A 22,356-nucleotide genomic window follows, 5' to 3' on the forward strand; every position below is an offset into this window, starting at 1 on the left:
GGAAATAAGGTCTTTGCAAATGCAGATGTAGTCAAGTTAAGATGAGGTCATACTGGATTAGGGTGGACCCTAATCCAGTGACTGTTGTTCTTATGAGAAGAGAGAAATTTGGACACAGACACATACAGCAAGAATGCCATGTGATGGCAGAGGCAGAGATTGTAGTGACACACCTACAAAGCAAGGAACACCAAGGATTGCTGGTAACCACCAAAAGCTAGGAGAGAGGGCGTGAAGCAGATTTTCCCTCAGGGCCTCCAGAAGAAACCAACCTTGCCAATACCTTGATTTTAGACTCCTAGCCTTTAGAACTAGAAGATAACACATTTATGTTGTTTTAAAGTCACCTAGTTTATGGTATTTTGTTATGGTGTCCCTAAGAAATGAATATACCTGGTAAATGTTCCGTGTGCATTTGTTAAAAAAAAAAAAATGTGTGCAGATGTTCCTCCTTAACTTATGATGGGGTTACGTCCCGATAGACCTATTGTGAGTTAAAAATATATTAAGTTGAAAATGCATTTAATTCACCTAACCTACCTTGAACGTGCTCAGGACACTTACTTATGACCACAGTTGGGAAAATCATCTGGTAACAGAGTATGCTGTAGAGTATTGATTGTTTATTCTTGTGATCTTGTGACTGACTGGGAGCTTTGGCTGGCTGCTGCTGCCCAGTATTGAGAGAGTATAGTACCACATATCACTAGCCTGAGAAAAGATAAAAATTCAAAATTCGAAGTAGAGTTTCTACTGAATGTATATGGCTTTTGCACCATCTTAAAGTTGAAAAACTGTAACTCAAACCATTGTTAAGTCAGGGACCACCTGTATTCTGTGAATGTTGGATGTAGTCTTCTAAAAGATTAGTTAGGTCAGGTTTGTTGATAGTGCTGTTTGAGTCTTCTATGTATTTCATGAATTTTCATCCACTTTCAATTATTGAGAGAAGGGTGTTGAAATCTTCAATTTTCACAGTGGATTTATTTATTTCTTTTTCCAGTATTATCAGTTTTTGCTTCATGTATTTTGAAGCTCTCTGATAATAGGTGCCAAAACATTTAGAATTGTCATGTCCTCTTAATGGATTGCTTCCTTTATCATTAAAAATGACCCTCTTTATTCCAGCTAATTCTTTCCTTTGAAATGCATTTTATCTGATATTAATAAAACTATTCCAGATTTCTTTTAATGAGTGTTAGTATGGAAGATCTTTTTTCATTCTTTCACTTTTAACCCATCTGCTTTTTAAATTTAAAGTGGGTTTCTTACAGACAGCATGTAGTTATTTTTCGATGTTATCCAATCTGACAAATCTCTGCTTTTTATTTGGTGTGTTTAGATCAATTACATTTAATATAATTAGTGATTGTTGAGTTTAAATCTATGCTTTTTGCCAGGTGCAGTGGCTCATGCCTATAATCCCAGCACTTTGGGAAGCTGAGGCAGGGAGATAACTTGAGGCCAGGAGTTTGAGACCAGCCTGGGCAACATAGCAAGACACCTTCTCTACAAAAATAATACAATAAATAAACAAATACCTCTATGCTTTTTCTATTTATTTTTTATTAATGATCATACTAAATTACACATTTTGGAAACTTGACAATTACTACAAGAAATTTGGAAAAAAGACATGTCTTTAAGTTAATTTCTTTTTTCCTTTTTTTCTTTGTTTTTTGAGACAGGGTCTCACTCTGTTGCCCAGACTGGAGTACAGTGGTGTGATCTCGGCTCACTGCAACCTCTGCCTCCCAGGCTCAAGCAATTCTCCTGCCTCAGCCTTCTGAGTAGCTGGGATTACAGGCATGCACCACTACTGCCTGGCAAATTTTTGTATTTTTAGTAGCAACAGGATTTCACCATGTTGTCCAGGCTTTTGAACTCCTGACTTCAAATGATCCATCTGCCTCGGCCTCCCAAAATGCTGGGATTACAGGTGTGAGCCACTGTGCTCAACCTTAAATTAATTTCTTTAATATAATTTTGATGTGTATTCTTTTACCCTTTGATTCTTCAAAGGATAAACTTTTTCACAACTCATTATAGGAATAGTTAGATACATTTTTAGGATTTTTGTCAAATTTGGGAAAACCTTGACCAAATTAGTTTCATATATGATTTGTAAGATTTGGAAGAATTTTCTAAAGGACTAGCCTCTAGTTCCAAGCATTTCATATTGTTTTTCTTTGCTACTTGTGTATTTCCAGTGGCAAGTGCAATGTTCATATCACTGTATGTCCTCTGGCCATGCATTATTTTGTCACAATTCTGAGTGATTGGTGTGGTGAGCGTTTTACGAACATTTCTCCTATACCAGTGCAGCTAGCAGTAACTTAACTATACATTGGAAGTGACTATGAATTACATAAAATACCCCACTAAACCCAAACTAAATGAGTCCCCAACTCAATATCCTCTTAGAAGAACTCAAAAACCTGTTATACCTAATGTTTCTAGGAAAGTGTGATGGAGAGAAGTTGGAATAGACTTAATGGTTGTATTTAAAGCATTTTACTTTTTCAAACTTTATAACAACATATGACTTGTAAATATATTATTGAGACAGTAGAAACAGCCTGTGCAAGTGAGAGACCCTAAAGGTTAAGTTTCATTAGCTTCATGGTAAATCTACTCAAGGGATGACTATTGTAGGGGCAAGTCTGAAATTCTTAGTAAGTCCTAGAAGGAACATTTAGCACAGATTATTGATACTTATGTTTATAATGTTAGGCACTTACAACCAGTAGTTGTCAGCTACAGGCTTAAGTACCAATTCTGGGTCAACAGAAAAAGTCACCGACTTCCTCTGTTCTTTATTTAGTGTTTTAATCTAGACCACGGTCCCTTCTTACCCTGCACATTCTCCCAGGAACCTCATCTTCTCTCATCTATTTAATTGCCACCTTTAAGGTAATAATTCCCAAATCTAGCCCAATCTCTCTCCTGAACTTTAGACATGTATGTTCCACTGTTCATTGATATTCCTGCATCAACTAGAACCTCTTGTCTTTCTTTTCAACCTGCCCTTACCTCCTGTATTGACCAAAGAAAAATCCTAAGAATTATCCATGGCTTCTTACTCTCTGACCTCACCCTACCAACTGCTGAGCACAGTGCCAGGCACATAGTAGATGTGTACTAGACTTGAGGTATTATGTTATAATGTTATAATCATATCAATAACTAAGTCCTGTTGGAGTTCATTCTAAGTATTTCTAATCCACCACTCTCCAGTCCTACTATTCTTATCCAGGCTACCATGTTGTCTCATGTGGATGGATTATTGCAATACTCTTATCTCTACCTCCTATCTTACCCCCTTCCCTAAAATTCATTGTCCACACTGAAACCTGAATGGTTTTTGAAAATGGAACTCTTACTTAGGACACTCTTCTGATGACTATTCTTCGAAGCCTTCATATTGTCCTGGGTATGAAGTTCTAACTCCTTTACCCCTCTTTCAAGGGCCTATACCAGGCCCAATCATACCTCTACTCTCATTTCTTACCACTTTTCTGAAATGAACTCTGTTCTGGCCACATTGAGTATTTCAGTTCCTCAAATTGCCATGCACTCAGTTCCCAGACCCTTTCACTTCTAAATTTCGATTGAACACCAATCATAATGACTCTATCACCTAAATATTTTTTCCATGCCTCTCTCCCACTCCCACATTGCTGCCAGTCTGTTTTTCATCACTTCTTTCTCTGCAATAACCTCTTAATTGATCTCTTCTTGATCCTAGCTTGCTCCTTTCAATTCTTTCTTCACTCTGCCAGCAGAATGGCCTTTCAGAAACAAACATTTTATCTTATCTCTCCTTTCCTTAAACACATTAATGGCATGTATCCCTACAACTTTTAGGAGAAAAATAAAACGTCTTAACACATAGAGTCCTTTGTGATTTGGTTTCTGCCCATCTAGATCTCTAGTTTCATCTTTTACCCCTCTCTCATACAGATCATTTCCCAGAATGAGGTCCTCCAGTTTTCTAAATATCATGCACTTTCGTACCTCTGGGCTATGCCACGTACAGTTTTCTTTGTGCTTTTATAGCATCCTTATCACACATTTATCTTTCCAACTAGATCACACACTTGTAGGGTTGTTTCTTTATATTTTTTGTGTTTTCTACAATAGTCACTTATTATTTTTACATTTTAACAAAATAAAATAATTGTGAAGGGCGCTATCCATTGAGGAAATTGGATATCCATTGAGGGAATTTAGTTGTAGAAGAGAAAAATGTGGTGGGATGAGACAGGCAACAGGATGGGTGGTGGGTCACAATACCTGTTTTCAAACATCCAAGGGCTTTCTTGGAAGGGTTTAGATGTCCATCTGGTGTAGATTTTAGGGAAACAGATTTCCTCTTAGTGTAAGAAAGTTGAACAGAGTTGTCTGAAGAGGGAATGAGCTGCTGAGTCAATAAGAGGTGAATGAATCACTTTTGGGTTTGTTTAGTGGAAGGGCTCTCACTGATACAGGGAGATTTCTGTTGAAAGAGGGAATTCAGCCTCTTCTGGAAGGTTGGCTCAAGTGGTCTGTGAGGTCTCTTCTATTCTTTGAATTTCACCATTACAAAAATAATTTAATAGCTTTCCACCCTTATACCCTGAAAACAGATTGATTTAACACTATTTAGAGGGTTCTGGTGTGGCTAGAGGAGCACAGGCCCCTCTCAGAATTCAATGTTAGTCATATCTTTGGTAAGAACTATCTATCTATCTATCTAACTATCTATCTATCTTTGATAGAGCCCTTTTCCTTCTTTGTGTTGTTCATCTTTTTTTCTCATAAGTATCCCATTCCTGATGGCCAACACATGACAGAATAGTAGTAAATGAATAACTTTCTATGTGTTAGGACACAACACCTTACTCTGTCCTATATTATGTTTCTCTTTGTGCTTGAATTATCTACCCAATTAGAATGTAAACTGTGCCTTAAATTTGTATGTTCCCCCCTGCATCTTTAAATATGGAATTATGGAATTCTTACTAAAGATTATATTTATCTGTAGTAATAATTCCATATATAAATTAAACTAAATTGAATTTAGGCAACAGGAAAACAGACCCAACAAATCCACCCTGAAATATTTTAGTAATCTATCAATCAAAGGGATTAAAAGAGATTTTAAAAACCCCATGAACATGGAACCTCAGTATAATCTGGCATACACAAAAGTAGTTTCTGAAATGTGGCAAATCGCCAGTCCTGGCAAATTGGGAAGGTAGTATGCCAATTACAGAGTGAGAAGTTGAATAGCACCATGGAGAATTAGGAGCAATAACACAGGATGAATGCCTTCGTCCTGATTTAGCCTCAGGTGGTCCTCACCAGAATCTGACAGGCAGATACCCTGGGATTCAGGGAATATTATAATCCCAGGGAATTCAGTCCATTGTTAATGTTGGTCAGGAATCATATACAGTATGAGTTAAGAAATACCAGAATTCATAAAGTAAGAATGTTTCTGCCTCTTTGTGGGCACCTGAAAATTGAATTGTCTGCCAACAGGAAGGGAAGCAGCAAGCAGATTCCTCAAGAGAAGGGGAGAGGCTTTGGTTCTCTTTACTTGCACACTTTTCTATAGGTAGTAAAACTATCAGCATCAGTCCCTTAGTCTTAACTGCAAAGTATCCCAGAGTATCAACTAGGGAGCTGTTGATCTGCAAATCCTCCATCTTCTCCCAGACTTTCTGCATTTGAAGGCCCCCCAAGGGTCAGCATCTTGTTTGAAGCTTAAAATAATTGCTTATCTTTATAGAGGCAGAGAGGGGTCTGAGGGAGAGAATAATGAAATAAAGACTAGTGGAAGCAGAAAAAGAAGGAAGTGTTTTGGATGGGGAAGGGAGAGAGAGCTTGAAGCTTAGGAACAAATTGACCAGTTTGGAGGGTAACCTTTTTCTCAAAAATCCAATTGAAAGTGTTCACAAGTCTGTACATCTAACCGTGTTGGCTGGTTTGCAGCAGCAGAGATGATGACAAGACTGTGTGACTCCTGGATGGAGGAAAGACATTCTTGTGGTGTGTCCCAAGAGACCTTCTGCCTTCCAGCTGACAAATCATCTGTGCTTCAAAAAAATTTCTGCTTCCAATCAAGACTGAAACTGAGAAATTTTCCTGACAAGAGTGGAAGTTGTAGCATGCACAGCCTGTTAGATTTGCTTCCTTTGTTTGGTGAGAAATAAAATCACACTCCACCAACAAATTGGAATGCCTAGGATATTCTCTGTCTCTTTCTCACTCCCTCACACATACACCTGCCTCCCCTTTGCCCCACGTGCATGCATACATGTGCACACATCTACCTTACTACTTTAGAGCCAGGTCTAATAGTGATAGACATAATCTCTGTCTGTCTATCATCTATCTATCTATCTATCTATCTATCTATCTATCTATCTATCAATCATCTATCTATCTATCTATCTATCTATCATCTATCTATCCATTCCTGTCACTGTCTCTGTCTCTGTCTCTTTCCAATAGTTCCTAGATTATGGCTAAATTTCCCCCCACATTTGGTAGGACAAAGACTTTTTACCATTAAGGATTTTTTTTTTTAATGTCCCTGCTACCAGTCATAAAGGAAATACCAAAAGGTCATTCCAAACAATTTTTTGGACAGAGGTTTACTGCTGAAATAGATGAAATAACTGATAATTTATCACAATAGCTAATTTGAAGGGGATAACTGGCACCTGGAAGTACAGAGCTGCTGTGTTGGTAAAAACAAAAGCAGCCGCCTTACTTTGTAATTATAGCTGATGTTAGAGGTTTTCTTTTTCTATTGTGGAGTTGTTGCCAAGGCAATAGCTTGGCACTCTTCTACACAAATGCTTTTCACATTAATCTACACAGGCTTCACAGATGTTAATTTTTGTAACACACCTATGCATTCCAGAAGAGCAAAATATATTTTTTAAAATCTGTTTTATATGGTAGGAAAAGAGCATTAGAAAACGTTTTTCTGGCCTCCTCTCTCGCTTCCAGGACACACTCACAGTGACCGTCATGGATTTTGAAATGGCCTCCAGACCTTAGCCCAGGACTGTGGGGAAAAGAGGGCAGGAAACCCAAAGAGAATCCACACGACAAACCAGATCAAGGACATGGCTAACGGTCAGAGTTGGAAGTTCTGCTGCTGAGACAAGGTGGAAGCCAGGAGGCAGAAACTCAAGAGGAACTAAAGCCAAATGTCACAGTTAGCAAAAATCAGGGCTAAAGCACAAGACAAGAACCAAAGGAGCGATCACTGTTGAGCAAAACAGTCTAGTGTCAGCATTCAGACACTGCCCTCGATGCAATTTCTGAACACTCTTGGGGCAGCAATGCTTCTTTAACCCCAACTTGAGGCAGCTCATGTAGAAAGCATCCACTATTGCTGGGCTTTGGGAGTGTGATTAATCTTGGAGGCAAGGTGAACTGTTAAAATTTTCACCCATCTTACACTGTGAAGAGACAGAATAAAGAAAGCCCTTCATACTTGTTGGTTCTGGAGTCATAAAGCTTACCAAAGTAGTAACATTGAGGCAGGGACTGGACCAGGGTGGGTGAGTGAGGTGCCTCAAGTACAAAACTTCAGGAGGCATTTACTCTTCAGGTCATATGAATGTGGGGCCACTGAGGCTCAGAGAGGGGAGGGGCCCCTTCACACCCCAGGCAGGGCAGCTCTGGACCTGACATCTGGTGCTCGGTGTCTCATTGATGTTAGGCCATGAGTTCATTTTGAATCAGAGTCTGTGGCGCTCATGGTGTTTCTTGAAAAAGAAAAACAACATTATTAATATTTAGCTACTCCCTGGCATTTTCTAATGTAGGATGGATACAAATAAACGCCCAAACTGGTGAAATAAAAAAATTTTGGTTAACACTATAGTAAAGACTTTTTTTTTCATATTCTTTTGCTGGCCAGGAAGTTCTAAATACCTTCCCAAGAGTATTTGCTGCAAAAAGAACAGAGAGGAAATAAATTATTGTGTGACTCCAGCAAACACTTGCCAAATGAATAGACAATGAATTAGAATTGGCAAAAGGGAGAATGGAACTCACATGAACTCAGTATCCTTTATTTTAGTTTCATTTAGTGGTTAAAGTCATACATTTGTTTTATTTTATGTACAATTTTTACATCTTTTTACAAAGGCTTTAAAAGGTATCTATATTAAGTGCCCACAAACTTTTCCTCTGAAACATCATTTAAATCACTCTGGCTGATTCTGCTCTCAACCAGATAAGGTATTAAGGAAAGACAAGAACAACAACAATAACAAAATGGTATGAAACTTTATCCAACCATGGCTTAAAAGGACTTATTGGTTAATTTGGATTTGGGTTGATGGTCAGGATGGCCTTGAAATTCATATTCTAAATTTAAATAGGAATTTCTTCAATTTTCCATTCAAGAAGTGATTCTCTTTCTTTTGTTCCACTAGGCTGTACAGATTGTATTCTCTGTTTCTGAGGCTGTCATCCGTTAGCAGGATTTACAGTTGCTGACAACTTGCTTTAATAATTCACAAGGAATAGAATCTATTTTGTGCTCTCTGTTTTCTCAGTCAGTTCAGTGATGCAGACAGATTAAAAACATGCTTTTTGTCAGTGAAATAAATTGAGAGGGCACAGAGACACCCTAGGAGGAGTAATACTGAACAAGATACCACTGTGAAATGTTTTCCCACCAGTACACAGCTAGATAAAACCAGAAACAGACCAGGCTCTGTCTTGAACCCTTGAATCTGGCAAGCCTGGTACTGAAGTTAGGCCTGCTCTCCAGGCATACCCCAAACTGTTGAGTTAATTTATATAGGCAACTGAATGTACTGGCTTTCAAGTTTTAGGGAAAGGAAATCATTTTAAGGACAAAATGAAATTCGAAATTCACACACAATTTATAAGCTGTGGCATTTTCTTTTTGTGAATTATGGTAGTAAAATGTGTAACTAGCACCTGTTATGTATTGTTTATATAGTTATCTGAAAAAGAAGATGCCTTTATTTCTGAGTAGCATCAGACAGCAGGGCAGGAAAGAGAAGGCTGCCTGGCCATAACTTCTACGCCTCCCTGGGTCATGCTATTGCTTCATGCTTCTTTAATATTAAATGTAACAAGTTCTGCATCAGGCTCAAATCCCATCTGGCCTCAGCCCAGAAGAGGCCCAGGGCCTGTCAGGCCTTACACTGCCCTGACTTTGTTGATAGATTCTGCTCATTGAAATTCAGCAGTGGAGGAAGAAGGTGCCTCCTCCTTGCAGCCTGTTCCTCTCCCTAAGCAAACAAGACTGTGGCTCAAAGGCAATGTAGACCATGGTGTCCACAGCCAATTTCAATACTTAGTTCCTTCCTGAAGCCAATCACCAGACCCACACCACAGGGTGGACACACCCTTCTGGGTAAAGAATGTATTTATTTAGGTTCATGCAGAAGCCAAAGAAGAAAGAACAGGGCAGATGAGAAAATCCTATAATGGACCTTGCAAGTGAACTGAGAGCTGTTTGGTGAATCTGGCTGACCACTTCAGCTCACTAGTGTGCACACATAACGCCCTTTCAGACTTTGGCATTCCTTGAATTTTCAATTTGATTTTGGCACTAGCTGTTTTCATAGGTAATTTTTCTTATTCTTCACATATTTCATGCCATTATGAAAAGTAAGTGTGTTTTGGCTAGACATCCTAGCAAAAAAAAAAAAAAGATGGTTATGAAGGTATTATCTTCAAAAGAATATTACAAATCACTATCTGGAAGTCAGCTGGCATCTGATATATCTTTATTTGTCTACATATGTAAATGTACATAGATATATAGTTATAGATATAAAATATTAACCAAATTTATGCGTGGTTTTCTTTAGGTAACTACAGATAAAAACTGCAGTTCCACTTGGCTTTTGTAACAAGTTGGCATCTAGGTTTTCATCTAATTGGTAAATGTATATAATTTAAAAACAGCTTAATTTTTTTTCTTAGTTTTCTTTAAAATGTGAATTGAAGTTGTGATTTGAAGTTGGAGTAAAATATCACTGGAGGCCCAGACATTTCCTGAAGTTTAATAGGGTAACCCTTTGGTGCTTGGAGCCATAACTTTACCATCTGAACTGCTCCAGAAATTCCAGTCACCAAACTCTGATATTTTTTTCACTCCTCCATCACATTTTAAACTTGTAATGGACCTTAAAGTGTTTCCAGTTCACCCTTGCAACTTTGCCCCAAGCTGGAGAAAGAATCTACCCCAAAATGTGCTCTTTATAACAACAGCATTTTTCCAGCCCTTGCCTCACAAAGGTGACATCTCTTGAAACTATTACGGCTTCAATATGCAAGGGATGTGGTCTCGGCTTCACCATAGCAGCTGCTGGGAGCAACCAGCTCTCCCAGGTTTATGCCACATAAACGCACACCCAAATACTCCAGTTCAATTTATTTTTCCTCATGCCGTTACTCCTAAATACGAATTCTTCCAGGGGTGGGCAAACTAATTTCTAAGGCTGTTTTCTTTTATTTTCTTCTTACTTTCTTTCTTTTCTTTCTTTTCTTTCTTTCTTTCTTTTTTTCTTTCTTTCTTTCTTTCTTTCTTTCTTTCTTTCTTTCTTTCTTTCTTTCTTCTTTCTCTTTCTTTCTTTGTCTTTCTTTCCTTCCTTCCTTCCTTTCTCTCTCTCTCTCTTTCTTTCTCTCTCTTTCTCTTTCTCTCTCTCTCCCCTCCCTCCCTTCCTTCCTTCCTTCCTCCAAATATCTACAATTCTTTTGATGGCATCCAAAAAATGAATGATTTTGAGGTATCTGGTTATGACTTCTATAGACCTTTATATTCTGGCTTTGAACTACAAAAAGACAAACAGGAAGGAAGGAAGAAAGGAAGAAGAGAGCAACAAAAAACACACAAAAATCCTTCCAATCTATCAGTGAAATTGTACCCTCAAATAACATTCTATAAATTATATTTGGTTATTTTGATAGGAGTTATAATCAGTTTTAATTTACTCATTCAAAATTCAACAATATTTGTTGAGAATCTACCTACTACATGCCAAGTAGATAAGTTATTAGCCCTCATAGTGTCTAGTTTTACTTAGCGTAGATATTTAATAAATGAGAGAAAAAATTAAGTAAAATAATTTCACATAATGACACATACTTGTAATGAGCTCTACCATAGCCTTCCCAGACACCCCTTCAGGTATGGTGTTCTTATTTCCCTAGTCACTAGGAATGCTGTCTGTAGATAGCCTTCACCTCTCAGTCCCTGTGATGGTTAACTTGATGGGTCAACTTGACCAGATTAAAGAATACCTAGACAGCTGGTAAAGCTTTATTTCTGGGTATGTCTGTAGAGTTGTTTCAGGAAGAGATTGGCATTTGAATCAATAGACTGAGTAGGAAGATCTATCCTCACCCAATGTGTGTGGCACCATCCATTCCACTGAAGGCCTGGATAGAACAGAAAGGCAAAGGAAAGCTGAATTTGCTCTTTCTTCTGGAGCAGGGAAACTTGTCTTCTCCTACCCTTGGACATTAGAACTTCAGGTTCTCTGGTCTTTGTTTCTCAGCCCTTTGGACTTAGACTGAAGCAAGTTACCAGCTTCCCTGGTTCTCCAGCTTGCAAATGACCTATCATGAAACTTCTCAGCTTCAATAATCATGTGAGCCAATTTTCATAATAAATCCTCTATCTATCTATCTCTCTATCTATCTATCTATCCATCCCATTGACTCTGTTTCACTGGAGAACCCTGAGTAACATAGTTTTCTTTGGGAATTGCCTTATCTGAAGAGAGTTACCCTGCCAAAGGTCATGTTTCCTACCTATAGGGTAGTCATTTCCAATAACTGGACCCCCTTAACCCAGCTCAGGACAACTCTGAAGGTCGATTCCATCTTTTGGTAGGATTAGCTCTGGTCCTTGTTGGGACCACATCACAACCCTACTTCTTCCTCTGCCTAATCCTATTTCTATCCTTTCCATCAGTGAGGACCAAGAGGACTCCCTAACAAACTTTCTACTTATTAATCTTTATCTCAGTCTACTTCTTGGGAGTCCTGACCTGCAGCAGTTAGTACTAGCAGAATATCAAGGAAACAGACACTGATTTAGCATTTAGGGGCTGGATGACCTGCTGCCTAGCTAGGAGTAAAGACACCATCACTGGTGGTAGAGATTAGTACTATGCCTGAGCCCAACAGAAATCAGCATGGCCAGCAGCAGAGATCAATGCCGAGTCCCCAGTACAGCACCAACCCTCCAGAATGCCAACCAGCCACTTGGTGGCAAGTTAAACACATTAGACATTTTCCACCCTGGAAAGAGTAGTGGCTTATTTTGATAGAAATAGAAATATATTTGGGGAATGTATGTAAAAGTTTGTCTTTCCTTTCCACAGAGCTTCAACCAGCACTACTACTTGAGGACCTATGCAGTGTTTGTCCATGAGCATGGAATGACTCATACTGGCCTCAGAGTTAGGGACTCACTTTAAAGGAAAGGGGATGCAGTAGTGGGCACATGACTAAGAAATCCACCGATCCTCTCATATACTGCACCACCAGAAGCTGCTGGATTAGCAGAGCAAAGGTATGTTCAAAGAACAGCTGAAGCAGGAACTTTGAGATTATACTTTGTGGGGATGGGTGTCATTATCTAGGGTGCAGTGCTTACCAGTAATCAATGAATTTTATGTAGTGCTACATCCCCACTAGATAGAATACATGGGTCCTGGAATTAAGGGGTAGAGGCATGAATGGTCCTTCATCTCTCCCAGTTATCTGCTTGCGGGATGTATCTTCCTTTCCTGGCATCTCTGGGTTCTGTGGGTTTAGTGGTCCTGGTTCCCAGAGAGGAAATGCTTTCACCAGAGGACACAGCAGGAATCTTACTAAACTATAAGCTGAAGCTGACTCTTGGGCACTTTGAGATCTTCGTGCTAAGGGACCGACAGGCAAGAAGGGGATGCTTCCTGGCATCATTAGGACATTGGGCTACTGTTATACAATGGAGACAGGGAAGAATATATATGGCACCCACATTATTTATTTAGGTGCCTCTTGTTATTCCTTTGCCCAAGTTTGACAATAGTAGACAAGTGCAAAAGCCATAATCAGAGAAGGACATGGTGATTGAGAGCTCAGACCCCACAGGATAAGGGTCTGGTTCATGTTACCAGGCAAGACAAATAAACCTGTGGAGTTTCTAGGTGAGTTTAGGGAGCATATAGAATGGAGAGTAGAGGAGGGAGAATGTGATCCCAAGACTGGCTGCAGTGGCTAGAGATGTATTTTATTCCACTAAACCTCAATAAGTTTCACTGAGAATCAGATGCCCCAGCATCCTAACTAAGCTGCCTCCAGAATTTATACAAAGCAGTGGATTCAAAGGGTGGACTCTGGTGAAATGTTGCCCATATTCCTATTCAATACTTAAAATCTTACTCCTCAAGAGGTTGAGAATGTTGCAAACAGACAGTTTTAGCTTTCAGGTGTCTTTGGAAATTGTCTCAACTTAAGAGCTGCTGTGACTTCTTGGGGCAGCTAGCATCCAATGTTGGGGGTATAAAGACTTGTCTCCTCGTTTTGAAACTTGGTATATTCTAAAAAGCCATTCTAGCTTCAGAACTCCCTGTGGGGCTGGCTGAGGTCTTTGTTGAGACTGCAGTTATAGCCTAATTTCTCCCTTTTCCCAGCATTCTTATTTTCCTTCCCTTCTTCAGGTGTTGATCAAGAGTACCTCTAATAACTTCTTCCATGCAAAACCACTACTCACTCTCTGGTTCCCTGGGCATCCACCTGCAACAGTACTATAAAAATATATAAAACAGCAAAATGAAATAGAAGATCAGATACAAGGCGAGGCTACTCTAGTTATGATGATCAGATAAGTCTCTAAGGAGCTGAGATGTGAATGATGAGAAAGATCACAGAAAGATCTGGGGGAGTAGCATGTACCATTCCAGACAGAAAGAAATATGAAGGCCCTGAGGTGACAATGAGCTTAACATGTTCCAGAAAAAGAAAGAAGGTCAGTGTAACTCAGGCATGACAAATGAGAATGAGGCTGATGGAAACAGTGGCCAGATCATGGAATTTGAACTTTATTCTAAATGCAATAAGGAGTTACTAGAAGTAATTAAATATACCACTTTGACTTACAGGAGTACTAAATGACTTACAGGAGTTTGAAGAGTAGAATAAGAGACAATCATTATAGTTATTATATATATTGTTATGGGACTATATAATAGTCTCACCCCAAGAAAGAGATGGGTGGTGATGGCGACAGGTGGTTGACTTTTGATATTTATTTTGGAGGTGAATCCAAAAGGATTTGTGATGCATTACAATGTAGGACAATGAAAAGAGAATAATTAAAGATGACCCCTAGGTTAGGCCTGAGCAAGGAGCAGTACCACTAGTAGGGAAGGAAAAGAGGAGCATAGTTGGAAGCAGAGGATATAAAGCTACCTAAGGACAGGGTACAAAGTTTCCAGAGAAAAAGAACAGATTAGAGAGCTAGATTACCTTTTTAATTAAGTAGTGACTTCAACTTTGTTAACCCCTTCAGTCTCTCTTTGTCTCAGTTTCTCTGCTTTCCATTCTTTCCTAGGCCACAATGAGATCTGATAGACCTCAATATCTATAATTATAAGCTGCTTTACATTTCTCAGAGATTCTGCATTTTCAGCAGTCTCTCAGGTGACAATGAGGTTGTGGTCTGAGGACATTTTGTGTAGCAAGGTTCCAGTGAAAATAACATCGTTGGGTCAGACAGACCTGACTTTGAATTGTTTCCTGGCCAATTATTAGTTGTGTAATATTGGAGAAGTTTAAATCTTCTCTGAGTTTAATTTCTTGTAAAAGTAAGAATAATATACCTGCCTCATAAAGTTACCAGGAGAATTAAATGATGTCATGTCTCTAAAGCATAAAGCAAATAACCCAGCTTCTTACTCACAATGGGGCTAACTAATTTAGTCTCCCTCCCTACCGCTGTCAAACAGACTATATGTTTACAGATTATATTAGAATCTTAAAAAATCATTGCAAGACCTTAGGCATCCAGATAATTAACATGTACAGTTTTGACTATTACCAAGTAATTCCAATGGTCCACATAATGTAACAATTTGAATTTTGCCAAGGTGCACATTGAAATCCTACATACTGAGAAGAGGCTGGTTTGCAGGAGTGAGTAATTTATCTGGGGTATAGCCTATCCAATGGCAAGCATCCTCATCTCAGCCTGACTTCATGGTTCTTAGCTCATCTTCCCATCTGCATGCCTTTTGTGAAACAAGAAAACCTCTGTATCTTATGGAAAATGTCTCTGCTAAACAAAGGAACAAACAGAAAAACAAAAACTAAACTAAAACCAATTAGCAAATTGTGCTGGCATAGAAGTGAAGAAAAAGTTAAAAAACCAAAGAAACAGATGATATACAGAAAAACAGGAGTTTTGGATAAATTATGGAGTGGGAATGCCACATTGGCAGTGGCTTGGATCCATGCTATGAATGCTTTTACCATGTGCTCTATAAGGAAATAAAGAAAGCTAATTCACAAACAGTTTCAATAAGTTTTCCAGACAGAATTTGTATTATTAGCCTTATAAATGAGTCTAGCCCTCTATTTATAGAATTCTAAAGGTCTTAAGGGGTTAATTAAAAGTTTTTAGTAATACTTGACTGAACTTTATGGGAGAAATTCTGTGCTATAATGGTATCTGTGATTTGGGGAATTTGTACAAGTCTCAGGGTGTATCTCTTAAGAATTTCAGGGTCTCTTGTAATTATTTTTAATACTAACACATTGTTCTTGTTGTATAGCAAATTGCAAAATGCAAATTATTAAACCATCATGGCAGTAATCACATTGTAAAGAAATAACTTGCATATTTAATTTCCGGTTTTACAATGAGGCTATAGCATTTGCCAGTAAATATTCAATACCATTGTACACAAGCACCATGCTACAAAGTACTTGGACAAATAAGACTCATCTGAGGAATGGAAAATACTGGCTCCATGATGGAAATGTAACCTTGAGACTTGGGAGGGTAAATTATCTCGGGGCAATAACAATGTTACCTATGACTGGCAGAAGGTCATAATACTGGTGCATTTAAACAGCTGTTAGTCCCCCAGTAGTCATCTAGAGAGACAAGAGAGAGAAATCACTTATTTTGATACTAAAAACACAGAGCTAGCTCTAAAGTATCTGACATATCCTAGTCCTGATCAGCAAATCTCAGCACTTTTGCTTGGTGTGAAGTCATTTAATTTTGACTGGATACTCCCTGTAGTAGGTAAGGCTAACACATCCAACGATAGATCTATTTCCACAAAAAATGATTTTTATACTCTCATTCATTAAACATGCAGTCTCATTTTCCCAAGGCTCTAAGCAGTGCCAACACGGTATTCCTTTCATTTGAACTCTGAAGTCCTTGTAGGAATAATGATCTCACATTCCTTTGTTGTTTAAAGAGTATGAATTCCGTGAACAATCCTAAGACAAATTAGTTAGATGAAATCTGGTATTTTGTGGGGCAGGTTAAGGAGAGTGAACCACAGGATTGATAAAATTCAACTGGATGCCAATTCTTTTGTATTATTTTCTGGCACCCTTATTTAAAATGCAAATACCCAGAGAGAGTAATACATTAAAGAGCATTAAGGAATAAATACATGGGTGGTGAGGAAGAGAACCCAATGTCTTCAACAAAATTCCATAGGAAGAGTCCCTATCTTTTACTTGGTTTAATGAGATTTGAAATGAGATAAGTACAAATTTGAGATCTGCTACTCTTTAGCTCCTTGCAGCAATTACTTAACCTCCCATAGTCTCAGTTTCCCATGAAAGTAAAACAGTGATAATAGTAACAGTATAGTAGCACTGAAGGGAGGAATTGATTAGATGACATATGCAAAAGACACAGAGGAGAGCTGGGCAGATGGGAAAAATTTAACAAAAGTTTATTTTTCTCTTTTGATTAAAAGTACTTGAATATCACATTACATTTTCCCTCCCCACTTCACTAGGGCAACACCAGTGGATAGGCACCCCCACTCAGGAGACCAGGAAATCTCCCCTAATAGGACTTCCAAGTGAATTATTAAACAGTGAAGTTATTTAAACGTTATTGAATTACTGAAAATAATTTCAAGAATCAGTGGTATTCTGTGGAAGTTATTAGGTGTAAGATAGGGACTCTTCCTATGGAATTTTGTTGAAGACATTGGGTTCTCTTCCTCACCATCCATATATTATTATTATTATTGAGATGGAGACTTGCTCTGTAGTCACCCAGGCTGGATTGCAGTGGCACGATCTCAGCTCACTACAACCTCTGCCTGCTGGGTTCAAGTGATTCTCCAGCCTCAGCCTCCCAGATAGCTGGAGTTACGGGTGCGCACCACCATGCCCAGCTAATTTTTGTATATTTTTAGCAGACATGGGGTTTCACCATGTTGGCTAGGCTGGTCTTGAACTCCTGACCTCAGGTGATCCACCCACCTTGGCCTCCTAAAGTGTTGGGATTACAGGCGTGAGCCACCTTGCCCAGCCATATTATTTACTTGGTTCAGATTTGTTATACCAAGTAATTCAGAGGTTTTTTCAAGAGAAGAAATGTAGAGGATAAAATGTTAATACCTTAACAATTATCAGACTCATTATTGAGCAAGACTGGAGTAGCAACAGAAGGAAGTCTATTTCTAATATCCTATTCTGAAGAAGTATCTCATTTCTTTATTTTTAGAATGCTTAAAAAGTTATTCTATCACAAAGGAAAACATAGTCCTACCATATGATTTACCAATTGTATTTCCAGGTATTTGCTAAAATGAGTAGAAAACTTATTTTCACACAAAAACCTGCACACAAATGTTTATAGTAGCCAAAGGGGATCAGACTATGTCAGCCCAAAATATGCCACTTCGGCATAAGTATTATTTTGGGCTCAAGGCAATTATACGAGGAATTCTCTGACATCTCTCTTTCTGCCTAAAGCATGACATAAATTTCCCTTTGTGAAGGCATCCTCCCTCTGCTCTCCCATGCCAGGAGGCGGTAAACAACTCTCATCACAGGAGACAGAAAGCTGGCATGAGATGTGTCTGCATAAGCAAACCTTACTAAAATAACACTTATCTTCCATTAGTTTCCCCCATATATTTACCTTTCTGTAATTGAATGTCCCTAGAAACTCAAACTGCTTTCCTTTGTTTTGTCACTTCTCCACACTTTATCACCCTTTGTTAAAGTGGTATATAAGTCCTGGGTTTTCACTTATTTATTTGGGATTTCATTTATTTTAGGTGAAGCTCCTTTGTGCATGTAAAGTGAACCATATCTCCTATTAATCAGTCCTTTGTTCCTTTAATTTGCAAGCCTCTTTCATTGAACCTAAGAAGGCAAAGAAAACTTTTTTCTCCTACTCTACATAGCTTTATTCATAATTACCCAAACTAAAGGCAACCAATGTGTTGTTCAATGGGGAAATGGATAAACAAATGATGGCATATTCATATAATAAACTATCATTCAATGATAAAAATAAATCAGCTATCAAGCCTCAAAAAGACATGAAGGAAACTAGATCATATTGCAAGTAAAATAAACCAATCTAAAAGGCTATATACTATATGATTCCAACTATATGACATTCTGGAAAAGACAAAATTGTAGAGAGTAAAAAGATCAGAGGTTGTCGTGTGTTTGATGGGGGATGGAGAAGGGGAGAGGAGAGATTTTTAGGGGATTTTTAGGGCAGGGACACTATTTTGTATAAAATTATAATGGTAGATAGATGATATTATGCATTTGTCAAAACTCATAGAACTGTACAACACAAAGAGTGAATCTTAATGTAAACTATAGACTTTAGTTGACAATAAAGTATCAATATTGCTTCATTAATTGTACCACACAAATGCAAGATGTTAATAATCAGAAAACTGGGAATAAGGGAGGGTAGGTTGGAGAGGGTATATGGAAACTCTCTGTACTTTCTGCTTAATTTTTTTGTAAATCTAAACTGCTCTGAAAAAATCTATTAATTAAAAAGTCATTTAAGGATATCTCATTCTTTATATGTCTTATTAAAATACAACAGATATAGGTAGAGAGAAAAGAGGGAACAAGAAGAGTGTAAAGCAAAGGGAGAGGCAGAAACATATAAGAATTATAAGACAAAGAAAATGAATTTGTGCCACCAGAAAAAAAATATTAGAAATTTAGAGAACCATCTTTTCTTTGTTTCTTTTTTTTTTCTCTTTTCTTCCTTTGCTCCTTTTTAGGGAATTGGAGTAGGAATTGGGGATTTTAGCAAACTTAGAATGTGGAATAAGTTGATGGCATTGGAATTTTTAAAATAGTTTGTGCACTTTTCCTGAGAGCGTGCATTTTACTTATTGCTGATGGAAGGCTAGAGTGTCTGGCATGGTATATACTTATGAGATGATTAAGCAAAAGATGGCTTCTGGCGGGAGGTGTGTGAAGAGGTATAATGTGACACTAGAAAAATCATGGGGCTGAACAATTGGGAACCTGCTCTCAGTTTGAACAAGAATAAACAGGCCTTACTAGGAGTACTGGAAATCAAAGGCAATGGTGATATGAGGCCTAGAGTAAGGCGAAGGGGTATGAAGTAGATGACAGTATGTCCCCCCAAATGAACTTTTCTTTTATATCGAGGTATAACATATATATAGGAGAGTGCATGAATCTTAAATGTACAGCTTGTTGAATTTTTATTTATGCACAGATACATGGATCCACAAACCAGTTCAAGATACAAAATATTTCCAGTACCTTAGAAGGCTTCCTTTTGCTCCTTCCCAGTCAATATCCCTGTCCTTAGAGGCAATCATTCTGATTTGTCACTAAATGTAAGTTTTGCCTGTAAATCTCATATAAATGGAATTGCACTATATTCACAACATTTGCATCCAGCTTTTTTTACCCAACATATGTCCGTGAGAGTCTATATTGTTTCATGTAATAACAGTGGCTTTTTAAAATTGGTATTCATATATTTTATTGTATGAAATACCATAGTTTATCCATTTTATTGCTGATGATCATTTGGGTTGTTTCCAGTGTTTTTGCTTTAATGAATAAATTTGCTATGAACATTCTTTTATATGTCTTTTGGTGGATATACACATCTATTTCTCTTGTGTCTTTACCAAGAAGTGGACATGCTGTGTCACACGATAGGCACATAGATATTGCCAAACATTTTTCCAAAGCAGTTTTACAATTTAAATTTTATAGCAACATATGAGGATTCCAGTTGCTCCATATCTTCAGCAACTTTTGCTAGTACTTGTCTTTTAAATTTAGTCATTACAGTGAGTGTAGAGTAGTAACCATTCTGGTTTTAGTTTGTATTTGCCCAATGGGTAATAAAATTGAGCATTTTTCCTGTATAATTATTGTTCGTTTGGATATCCACTTTTGCAACGTTCTTACTCAAGTCTTTTGCCAATTATTCAACTTGGATTTACTTCTTATTATTAATTTATGGGAGTTCTTCATATATTCTAAATATAAGCCCTTTGTCAGATATTGCAACTTTCTTTCTTTTCAGTCTGTGGCTTGCCTTTTCACCCTCTTAATGTATCTTTTCATTAATAGAAGTTCTTAATTTTGATGAAATCTAATTTATCAATTTTTTGTTTTAAAAATAGTGCTTTCCTTACACGGCTTGGATCTTTTCTTATTCCAAGTTTTTAAACATATTATTCTCTTTTCTGTTTCTCAGCAACATTTATTGAAAATTCCAGTCTTTTCTCCCTAAATGAAGTGGTGTTTTTGTTGTATATCAGATGACTGCATATAACTGGGTCTTTTTCTCCATTCTTCTTCGTCTTATTGCCATATTTGTCTATCTTAATGCCAGTATCACACTGACTCAATTACAAAGCTTTATAAAAGCATTTGTAGCTTATCTTGGTGATTCTAGATAGTTTGCATTATCATATACATTTTACAGTCGGTTCTAAGTAAACTCTTCTTTACAATTTTGTACCACTAAGTTGTAGCTAGCACACTCTCTAATTTTTTAGTCAAAGTTACATATGTACATAATTTAAATAGTCAAATAGCACTATAAACCTTTAAATGAAAAAAGTAGTCCTTTACTCCTAAACCTCATTTCAAGAAGCAACCTTTTCAAGTCTTTTAGCATTCTTCTGGTATTTAATTTAGTATTTCTCAATAATATAATTTTATTTCTTGATTTTCAGCTTTAGATGTTGTCTACTATGGAGCATAATTCAGCTCTCTTACATTTTCTCAACATAGATCACTTTTGTTAGGTCAATATTTGTTAGTTATATTATTATTATTATTTCCATGTAAATATTCTTCGCAGCATTCTTCTTCTTCTTCTTTTTTTCTTCTTCTTTTTTTGAGATGCAGTTTTGCTCTTGTTGCCCAAGCTGGAGTGCAATGGCTCGATCTCAGCTCACTGCAACCTCCACCTCCCGGGTTCAAGCAATTCTCCTGGCTCAGCCTCCCAAGTAGCTGGGATTGCAGGTGTGTGCCACCATGCCCGGCTAATTTTGTATTTTTAGTAGAGACGGGGTTTCACCATATTGGTCAGGCTGGTCTCAAACTCCTGACCTCAAGTGATCCACCTACCTCGGCCTCCAAAAGTGCTGGGATTACAGGCATGAGCCACTGCACTCGGCCTTCACAGCATTCTTCTATACCTTTTTGTTTTCCCTAGAGATAATAATCACCTCCTTGCCCGCATTCATTTTGTTTTATATAATTTACTACCATTAATTCATTCTTGAACTCTCCCAAAAATGTTTCCTTTGAATATATTTAATTACATCAGGAAACCTATCACATTTTTTTTTCTTAAAAATATCTCTCTCATAGCCCTCTATTCCCCCTCAAGTCTGGACTGACTGATCTCTAGGTCTACAATGAGAGTTAGATGTTGCCAAAGAATCTGCCTTCATTTGTTAATTTATGTGTGCTGCTATAACAGAATACCACAGACTCGGTAATTTATAAGCGATAGAAATTTATTTCTCACAGTTATGGAGGCTAGGAAGTCCAAGATCAAGGCATCGGCAGGTTTTGTGTCTGGTGAGAGCTTCTCTCTGCTTCCAAGATGGTGCCTGTTGCTGCATTCTCTGGAGGGGAGGAATGTTGTGTCCTTACCTGATGGAAGGGCGAAAGAGGGAACTCACTCTCTCCAGCCCTTTCATACAGGCCCTAATCCCATCCACAAAGGCTCTGCCTTCATGACATAATCACCTCATAAAGGCCACACCTCTTAATACTATCACATTGGCAATTAAGTTTCAATATACAAATCTGGGGGGACATATTCAGACC

General features: G+C 37.9%; 1 annotated feature.

Moving 5' to 3' along the window:
* Positions 3,488-3,627: a silencer, noted in NCBI's record as "silent region_5303". NCBI's record gives its function as "represses an Ori minimal core promoter by ATAC-STARR-seq in GM12878 lymphoblastoid cells {active_cell/tissue: GM12878}" and the evidence as "EXISTENCE:reporter gene assay evidence [ECO:0000049][PMID:35858748]".

The sequence above is a fragment of the Homo sapiens genome, chromosome 13, assembly GCF_000001405.40.
Source record: "Homo sapiens chromosome 13, GRCh38.p14 Primary Assembly".
In the NCBI taxonomy this organism is placed as follows: domain Eukaryota; kingdom Metazoa; phylum Chordata; class Mammalia; order Primates; family Hominidae; genus Homo; species Homo sapiens.